Raw genomic sequence first — 10,455 nt, forward strand, 5'->3', positions numbered from 1 at the left:
TTGTCCCAAGAGCCAATAATCCCCTTACACTTCAGCTAGTTTGAGCTGTTTTCTACCACGGGTAGAAGAAATAGTTCTAATCAATACAAGAGGATTTTAAGAGGATTTTACTACCTTTTTATACTTTTTCATTTAAAACTTTTTTTAATTCTTTCTTTTTCTTTCTTTCTTTTTTCTTTCTCTCTTTCTGTCTCTCTTTCTCTCTCTTTCTTTCTTTCTTTCTTTCTTTCTTTCTTTCTTTCAGACAGTCTTACTCTGTTGACCAGGCTTGAGTACAGTGGCATAACCAATTATAGCTCACTGTAGCCTCAAACTCAGGGCTCAGGTGATCCTCCAACCTCAGCCTCCCAAGTAGCTAGGACTACAGGTGCATGCCATCACACCCAGCTAATTTTTATTTTATTTTTTCTAGAGACCAGGGTCTCACTATGTTGTCCAGGCTGGTCTTGAACTCTTGACCTCAAGTGATCCTCTGGCCTCGGCCTCTCAAAGTGCTAGATTACAGGCATGAGCCACTGAACCTGACCTACTTTTCCATATTGCTTGAATTTTCCATTATAAGTATGTTATATTTTCAGTGTTACAAAAAATTTTTTTTGAGACAGAGTCTTGCCCTGTCACTCAGGCTGGAGTGCAGCAGCACAATCTCAGCTCACAGCAGCCTTGACCTCTCAGGCTCAAGCCATCCTTGCACCTCAGCCTCCTGAGTAGCTGGGACCACAGGCATGCACTACCAAGGCTGGCTAATTTTTAAATTTTTTGTTGAGATGGAGTCTCACTATGTTGTCCAGGCTGGTCTTGAATTCCTGGGCTCAAACAATCCTCCCATCTCAACCTCCCAAAAAAGTGTTGAGTGGCATGAGCCACTGGACCTGGCAAACATTTTAATTGAGCAGCTATTTGTGAGTCACAGATGGCAAACACCCTGACTTTAATCACCTCACATTTTGATCGATCTGAAAAGTAAATACTTTGCCTACCATTGTCTTTTGTTAAAGCGCAGCACCTCCTGCTCCCATGCCACCACCCCTCACCACTTCCTAAGTTTTCTCTAAGATTCAAGCACTTTCCAAATATTCCATTCAGTACACAGTTATCTGGTGTGATGGCCTCTGCACAGCATGGCTCCTGGCCTTCAGAGCCCTCAATCTAGGCAGGAGACAGAAGTGAACAGAATCGTTCTGATCAAGGGCTGTAAGTACTAGAACGGAAGAACAGTGTGCTGTGGGAAGAAATGGAGAAAGAAAGGAGAATTCCTACTAAAATGGAGGCGAAGGAGGCATTTCAGGTAGAGGAACTAGCTTGAGCAAAGGCCAGGTAGTAGAGCCACACAGGATGTATGATTTGTGTGGTTAGCATGATGCAAAACAGGTGACTACAGGGTGGCCTTGAATGCTGGTATAAGACGTTTTTGCTTTATCCTAGAGAGAATGAGGAGCCACTGGAGGGATCCAAACAGAGAAGTGTCATGATCTGATGTGAGGTGGGATGGTCAACCTGATGGTGGTGTAGACAGTGGATGGGAGAGACCCAAGGCCAGGTAGGTGGCTACTGCAATAGTCCAAGCAGTCAGTACTGAGTCCTACATAGCCTTGTGCCCTTGTAGTTACTCTGTCTAAGCCTCATCTGGGAGCAGGCATTCTCTGCTGTCTATGCCCAGGGCCTGTGCTTGAGGAGAGAGGTCATTCTGGTCTTCTCCAGAGCCATGCTCTGACCTTGGTCAGCGGCCTTGTCCTGCCAGAGCCCCATTTATTTGGCTTCCCCGCTACACCCAGGTCGTGGTTCTACTTAGGGTGTGTGGGAAGTAGTAGCTGTCTCCCTCCACCCTCATTCAGTCAGCTTGACTGAGGAATCTCCAGATTGGAAGCAAGTCTTCAAATATTAACAGCTAAAAAGAATAAAAACAAGAACAGCCACATGTATGACAAGACAGTATCAACACTTTGCATGGATTATCCCATGTGATACTCTTGGCAACCTTATGAGGTGGATGCCATTGCCGTGTCCATTTCACAGATGAGAAAATGGAGTCTCTGAGTCGTTCATGCAATGGCTGCTCACTCTGGGGCCTCCAATAAGGCATAGCCTAGAGTCCACACCACAGGCTGGATGAGGTCCTTGGTCTCTACAGCCTGGAATGCAGTGGCCCTCTTTCTACTGCTGCTTATTTGTCCAAGCTCAACAAAGGTGTCCCCTCCTCTAGTGATCCCAACCCCCCGCCCCCCGCAAACCCTTGTTGCCACTTCAGGTTTCCCCACTCCCTGCTCTCCTCTGCCCCAGCATGCATCCATCTGGCTGCCCTGCCATGGTTTGCTCATCTGTCCTAGAGGGTGAGCTCCCCAAGGACAAGCAGACAGATCTCACTCTCCCTGTGGTCCCGTGCCAGCACAGAGAGGCTCTCACTGAAGGCATCAGATGTTGAAGTAGAAGGAGGGGGCGCCCTGCTGCCCTCCCTGCTTTGGGGCTTTCCACCTTTCCAGAGGAATGGGCTGCCTCCCCAGCCTCCCTCTGAAACTTGCCCCCACCCCTGTGTGGGAGACTGAGAGGGGCTTTCCCAAGCTGTGTGTCCCCTGCCGTTGAGATCACATCCCCACCTTCTGTCTTTTCTTTTCCAAATAAGCATCCAAATTCAAAGGCTGTGATAAGCTCTAGCTAAAGGCTGGAAACCAGCTCAGGCTCACATACCAGGGTGTCCAACCCATGCCCAACCAGGAAAAAAGAAGGAGATTGAAGGAGAAAAAGGGAGAGAGATGGTCACCAAGCTGAAGGCAGATGAAGAAGTGAGAGAGAGCAAAGTGCCTTCTTGCTGGGAGCCTCCCTTGTGTCTGGAATGATCAGAAATCGGGGAGAAATGGTACAGCCTTCAGCAGACGAAATTGAGCAGTTGTGCTGTGAGGCAGGCTGTGGTACTTAAATGCAATAGCTGATCTAATCACCAGTCTCGTTCTCTGGGAAGCTTTTTGCTGCATTTTAGCACAGAAAAGTGTTGTCTTTCTCTCTTTTGTGGCTCGAGCTGCTATTTAAGAAAGCAAAAAAAAAAAAATCAATATGCCTTCTCAGGCTTTCATTCTTTTTCCCCCAAAAGGTGTTTCTTTGGGGAGGGGGAAAAGGTAGAGGGGGGAGTCGAGGAGCGTTTTTGTCATTCATAAGCCATGGTGACAAATCCTTGACATCATTCGCGGTTCCTATCGATCAGCTCCGTCCGCGGCACCAGAGGACAAATAGAAATCATTTGTCTGTCTTGGCTCCCAAACAACCTGAGACAAAGGGCTCGGCCAGCAATCAGCAGCTGGAGGTATTAGCAGCGGGTCAAGTTCGGAGATCAGAGGTCAAACAGGTTGTCATCAGTTTCTCACAGCTATCAGAGCAAGGGCAGGGGAGGGGCAGAATAAAACCCACCAACAACACAGCTGGTTCTTATTAGCCAAATCCTGCCAACCCTGCCTCCCTGCAAAGAAAGATGGGCCACTGCCCCCCCAGGGACGCCCTGGGATGCAGGATTTCATGGGTTGGCGGCAGGGGTGTGAGAGGCCAAGGAAGAAAAGAAGCAAGATCTGAGCTCTGCCTCTTGCTGTGTGTCCTGAGCACCCTCCCAAGGGAAGCTCTGAGTTATTCTGTCCTGGGCCGTGAAAAAGAGAGAGAAAGAGGAGAGAGAGAGAGACAGAGAGGAGAAAGAGAGAGAGAGAGACAGAGAGGGGAAAGAGAGAGAGAGAGACAGAGAGAGACAGAGAGAGACAGAGACCGGGACCTCAGGTTTCTCTGGGAGTCCTAGCAAGCAAGTTAATCTTGTATAATTGGAAGTGGCTTAAATGGCCTGGGAAACAGGGGATGCAGCCAGGGTACAGTTGAGTCATGTTAAGTCCCTGATTACACATCACCTGTTTTGGTTTCTCCTCCCACCCTCGAGATGAGACCCAATTCTTAGGACAATTAATCTAGACAAAGATATGGAAGGATGAGGGTGGCATATCCAGCCCCCGTGGAGTGACACGTACGGCGGGTGACTGGGGAGTGAGGAGAAGCATGACAAATAGGATGGCATCTGACAGCTCTTTTCACTGAGCACTTGCCATCAAGGCTGTGGGCCTGCTGCAGCCGTTATCTCACTGAAGCATCAATGAGAGCCCTGGGAGGGGCCTGTTGGTTCCATTTCACAGATGGGAAGACTGAGGCCCAGAGAGATTAGATCACCAGTATCATTGAGGCCACAAAGCACATATCTGAAAAGTGGATCCCAGGGAACAAAGAAAGGGGCACCTTTGATGGGATCCACTTTTCACTTTTCAATGAGCACAAGTCCAACTGATGGGAACATATTGAGAGTTCTGGGTCCCTGACTTCGCCAGCTGCTCCTTTGGCACACCCCCAAGCACCCAAGGACTCTATTGCCTTATAAGGATGAAAAGACCCAGAATTGGAACTTGCAGCTCTAAGGAAGTCCCCCGCGAAGGGAGAGTAAGGTAATTCAGGAGGTTTGGAGCTCACCAAGGTGGGAACACTTTGAGCCCACACTGGCCCAGGCTGGAAGGCAGGACTTCACCACACTAATCAGGTGGTAAATCCAGCTCTCAGGAGCCTACTGGCCCTCAGATAAGTTAATAGGAATGATGGCTTCTCTTCAGTGCCACTGGGTCACGGTGAAATGGGAGGGGGCAAGTTTAGTGCATGTCTGAAGACACATGGGTGGCCTGTCACCCAAAGGCCTCTGCTGGAATAGGGGCCCTTCTCAAGTCTAGGGGGCTCCAGGGGACGTAGGACACATTTTAATGAAGATGAGTAGGGAATTCTCTGATGCACCCGTTACTTGTTCCAACTCTCTCTCTCTCTCTCTCCCTCTCTCTCTTTTTTCTAAGAGGTGGGGTCTCACTATTTTGCCCAGGCTGATTTTAAACTCCTGGGCTCAAGTGATCCTCCTACCCTGGCCTCCCAATGTCCTGGGATTACAGGCATGAGCCACCACTCCCGGCCTGTTCCAACTCTCTAAGGAACCTTTAAGATGTGGAAGAAAAAGAAAGATAAAGGCAGTAGTGGAGCTGTGAAGATTGGAGTCTTTGAAGGAAACTTCAATGATGCATGTAGGATAAATATCCTTCTGAAACAGGAGCCCTTAAACAGAACTAAGACCTGTGGCTGTAAAAGGGTAGCCTGAGGATCTACACATCTGCACGTGGGATAAAACTGCATAGAACTCAACACACACACACAAACACATGTGAATGTAAAACTGGTGAAACCTGAATATGGTCAATGGGTAGTACCCGTGTCAATCTCTGGCTTGTGCCACTGTACTATAGCTATGCAAGATGTTTCCACTGGGGAAACTGGATGAAGGGTATATGGGATCTCTCTGTTTTACTTCTTACAACTGCATGTGAATTTACTATGACCTCAAAAGACAAAAGTTAAAAAAAGGAAAAATAAACAAAAAAGCATTTTGTTCCCTCAGCAGAGTTCTCTCTGCCTCCTGACATAAAGATAGGAAAAGGCACAGTCAGGAGAGGAATAAGTGCTCTATCCACAAGCTCTCTCCATGTAGAAAACAGATAAGAATGGTCTGCATTATGTGTATTTTTCACCAAATCCATCCTTCTGAAGAACCACATTGTATTTATGCACACATTATTATCCCATTATTTGGTGAAGAAAACTGAGGCCGGGGTGGTGTACTTATTTGCCGGAAGCCACAGTGGCCGAGCTGGCATTTCAATCCCAGTCAGCTGACTCCAAAGCCTGCGCTCTTTCCACCACAGCACAGTGGTCAAGTTGGCAGTGTTCCTATTTCCAGAGCCCCAGAAAGTATGCTCTCCAAGGGTAGATTTGGCCTAGGAAGCTAAATATGCCAATTCCATCAAGCATTCGTTAAAAATTTTGCCGTCCAGGAGTATGGAGGGGTAGTTTTTTGTTTGTTTGTCAAAAAAAAAAAAGAATAAAAGAGGCCTGTCCTCAAGGATCTGAGTCTGTGGTTTTGCCAGGAAACTAACATGCCTAGAGATGGGCTGAACTTTCCTAAGAGCAACACAGGGTCAGAGAAGAGGGAGATGTGTGGGAAGGGGGCCTCTTGGAAGGGGGCAACTATGCCTCTTTCTTTTCCTTTTTTTTTTTTTCTTGCTTTGAGACGGAGCCTCACTCTGTCACCAAGGCTGGAGTGCAGTGGTATGATCTGGCTCACTGCAACCTCTGCCTCCCAGCTCAAGTGATTCTCCTGCCTCAACCTCCCAAGTAGCTGGGATTACAGGCGCCCACCACCATGCCTGCTAATTTTTGTATTTTTAGTAGAGATGGAGTTTCATCATGTTGGCCAGGCTGATCTCAAACTCCTGACCTCAAGTGATCTGTCTGCCTCAGCCTCCCAAAGTGCTGGGATTACAGGTGTGAGCCACCACTCCTGGCCTCTTTTTCAATTTTTTTGTTGTGGCAAAATTACATGTAACATAAAATTTACCATCTTCACCATTTTGAAGTGTATAATTCAGTGATACTAAGTAAATTCATATTAGGTAAAACCATCATTATCATCCACCCACAGAACTCTTCATCTTCCCAAACTGCAACTTTGTATCCATTAAACAACTCCCCATTCCCCACCCTCCTCACAGGCCCTGGCAACTCATTCTACTTTCTGTCTCTATGAATTTGACTACTCTAAGTACCTCATATGAATGGAATCATACAGTATTTGTCCTTTTGGGACAGACTTACTTCACTATCCTCAAGGCTCATCCATGTTGTAGCACGTGTCAGGATTTCCTTCCTTTTTCATGCTGAATAGTATTCCATCATATGCACCTACCACATTTTGCTTATCCATTCATCTTTTGATAGATACCTGCATTACTTCCCCGTTTTAGCTATTGTGACTAATGCTGCCATGAACATGGGTGTACAAATATTTTCTATTTTTCTTTTTTTTTTTCAAGATGGAGCTTTGTTCTGTCACCCAGGCTGGAGTGCAGTGGTGCGATCTCAACTCACTGCAACCTCCGCCTCCCAGATTCAAGCCATTCTCCTGCCTCAGCCTCCCAAGTAGCTGGGACTACAGGTGCCCGCCACCATGCACGGCTAATTTTTGTGTTTTGAGTAGAGACGGAGTTTCACCATGTTGGCCAGGCTGGTCTCTAACTCCTGGCCTCAAGTTGTCTGCCCACCTCGGCCTCCCAAAGTGCTGGGATTACTGGCATGAACCACTGCGCCCTGCCACAAATATCTTTTCAAGATTCTGCGTTCAATTCTTTTGAGCATATACCCAGAAGCAGAATTGCTGCATCACATGATAATTCTATTTTTAATTTTTTGAGGAAAGGGGATGGCTTTCACTTAAGGATCATACAGTTTGGTTTCATTTTTAGTTTGTTTGGCTTGTTCTTTAAAAAAAAAAAGTAATATATGTACATAATTCACAATTCAAAAGGTGAAATCTCCCTCCCACCTCTATCCTCCAGTCAGTCACCCGGTTCACCTCCCTGGAGTCAACCAATGTTATCAGCTTCTTGCTTATTCTTCAAGAGAGATTCCAGGCATGTACAAATACATCTATCTATTAGAAGGGTTTCGATAGGTGGAGAAGGGAAGAAAGAAAGGGCACCAAAGAGGATAGACTTGTCATGGGGAGATTCATCCTACTAGGGTAAATTTTTTTCTGTCGCTGTTTTAGGGGTGTCTCTTATAAACATCACATGATTTGACTTTAGATTTTTGACTCAATCTTTAAGTCTTTTTTTTTAATATGTAGGTTTTGTCCATTTACATTTTTTTCTGTATTTAACTGGTTTTGCCTTATTGATAGAGGGAAATAATTCCTTTGGCAGAAACAAATGACCCTTAGTTTTACCTCCTGGTTGACTTTTAATTTTGCTTTCAAAGATTCTGATCTTCTAATCTTTGCTGTCCCTTTTACCTTTCTTCCCTAGTGTTTTGGAAGAAGTTTTTTGTTTTGTTTTTGAGACAGAGTCTCACTGTCACCCAGGCAGGAGTGCAGTGACATGATCTTGGCTCACTGCAACCTCTGCCTCCCAGGTTCAAGTGATTCTTCTGCCTCAGCCTCCCAAGTAGCTGGGAGTGCAGGCGTGCACCAACATGCTTCGTTAATTTTTGTATTTCTAGTAGAGACAAGGTTTCACCGTGTTGGCCGGGCTGGCCTTGAACTCCTGACCTCAAGTGATCCGCCCACCTAGGCCTCTTAAAGTGTTGGGATTACAGGTGTGAGCCACCATGCCCAGCCTGGAATAAGTTTTTATTCCATTACTGGTTAACTTTTTAACCAGTAAGAATATTTTTTAAAAAATTCTTTAACTTGGAATCATTTAACATTTTATTTTGAGAGTCTTGAGCGCTAAAGAAATAAAGAATAATACAAGCAACACCTATATTCTTACCATTTATCATTAATGTGCCAGTAATCAATGTATTGCCTCTTGGCACCAAACCTGCCATCATTTGCCTGCTTCATGTTACTGCAGCTGGACCCTGTAAACACTTCTCCTCTACGCACACTGGTTTTGTGGATAGAGGGCTCTAGAGGAACATCACGAGGCACAGCAGAAGAATGGGCTTCTCTTCCTGGTTCCTGAGTTCAATTCCTGTTCCCAGGACACAGCTGCCAGCAGCGTATGGGAGACCCAGTGGTGCTTACCCTCTGGCAATTTACACTGGCACCCCTGTGGTTGGCTTTCTGCTTGCCAGCCCTGGCCTGTCAGCTGTGGCCCAGCTTTGGCTTGAAGCACCTCGGTGAACCTCTCCACATGGTCCACAGCCCCACCCTCTCTAAGGTCTGACTCCCAGACATGGGTTGGGGGTTTCTCCCAAGTGCCATGGTTCCTTGGGTGTGCTTCCTGAGCCCTAGAGGTAGTAACTGCCCCCCATGTCTGCTACCCCTCTTTAAAGGTACCTTTTCCCCTCTTAGTTGGTAACCACCTTTTATTAATTTTTTCAGTTAATTGCTTTTTATATTACTTTTTTCTGTGTGGTTTCTGTCTCCTGACTGGACCTTGACTGATACATTTAACAAAGTTCATATTTTTGTCACATATGCTTGCTGTTATTTTTTTTCTTTTAAGGAAATTACACATTACGGATATAGCTAAAGTCCCTTCTAATGGCCATCCCTGGTTCTATACCCTTTCTCCAAGAGGGAACCATTATTATGAGTTTGAGGTAAATCCTCATATTTTAAAAATGTTTCCATCCATTCATATGTATCCACAAATAATGCATGCTATTTTTACATTTTAAAATGTATATGAGTGATATGCTTTTCATATCATTCTGAATCTTTTTTCTATCTACCCAACATTATATAACTTAAAACTATGCATGTGGATATATGTAGATCTAGTTAATTCCTCTAAAACTGTTGTATAATATCCCATCATATAAACATATCATGTTATTAATTCATTCCCCTATAGATGGTCATTTGGATTGTTTTTAATATTTGGCCAGTTGCAAACAACGATGCAATATACATCTGGCATATGCACATGACAGAATTTCTCCAGGGAATATATTTAGAAATGGGATTTTTTGAATAGCTCATAGAGGATGTACTTTCTTTCTTTCTTTTTTCTTTTTTTTTTTTAGAGACAGGGTCTCACTCTGTCGCACAGGCAGGAATGCAGTGGCATGATCATGGCAAGGATGTACATTTTTAAATGTTATTAGCTGCTGCTTATTTGTAATAATGCTATCATTTTCTCAATACCCTCATCAACACTTTATTTTATTTATTTATTCTTTAGAGACAGGGTCTTGCTCTGTTGTCCATCCTGGAGTACAATGGTGCAATCAATCATAGCTCACTGCAGCCTTGACCACCCGGGTCAAGCAATCCTCCATCTCGGCCTCCCAAAGTGCTGGGATTACAGGTATGAACCCCTGCATCCGGCAACACTTTATATTGTTAGGCCTTTTAATTTTTCCCAATCTGGTGGACTGGGCAAAAAATAGTATCTCACTTTTCTTTTCATGGCTTTAGTGGCTATTTGAATATTCCTTTGTATGAATTTTCTGTTCATATGTTTCTCATTTTTCTGTTGGGTTGTCTTTTTCTTACAGATTATAGAAATTCTTTATATATTCTGATAGATACATTATATATTGCAAATATCTCCCAGTAAATTGTTCACCTTTTAATCTTGCACATGGTATATTTTGCCTGAGATAAGATTTAATTTTAGCAAAGTTAAGTAATCTATTTTTTTATTTTATAGGATGTTCTTACTGTGTCTTTCTTGTTTGAGAAATCATTCTCTATCCTGGGTCATGAAAAATATTTTCTTATAATTTCTTCTAACTGTTTTTCATGTTTAGGTCACTAAAACATCTATATTTTACTTTTGTTAATGACATGTCACAGCTCTGTTATTAAATAGTCTTTCTTTTCCCTAATGATTAGTGGTGACATCTCTAACATATGCTACATTCTTATATATAGATAGAAATCTGTTCTCGGGTCCTCTG

The 10,455-nt window shown here is 44.4% G+C and overlaps 1 annotated feature.

Moving 5' to 3' along the window:
• Window positions 1,890-2,391: an enhancer, noted in NCBI's record as "H3K4me1 hESC enhancer chr17:35148027-35148528 (GRCh37/hg19 assembly coordinates)". NCBI's record gives its function as "activates a minimal SCP1, AML or CMV promoter by ChIP-STARR-seq in primed H9 embryonic stem cells {active_cell/tissue: H9 hESC(primed)}" and the evidence as "EXISTENCE:reporter gene assay evidence [ECO:0000049][PMID:30033119]".

Source organism: Homo sapiens, chromosome 17, assembly GCF_000001405.40.
Source record: "Homo sapiens chromosome 17, GRCh38.p14 Primary Assembly".
NCBI classification, from domain to species: domain Eukaryota; kingdom Metazoa; phylum Chordata; class Mammalia; order Primates; family Hominidae; genus Homo; species Homo sapiens.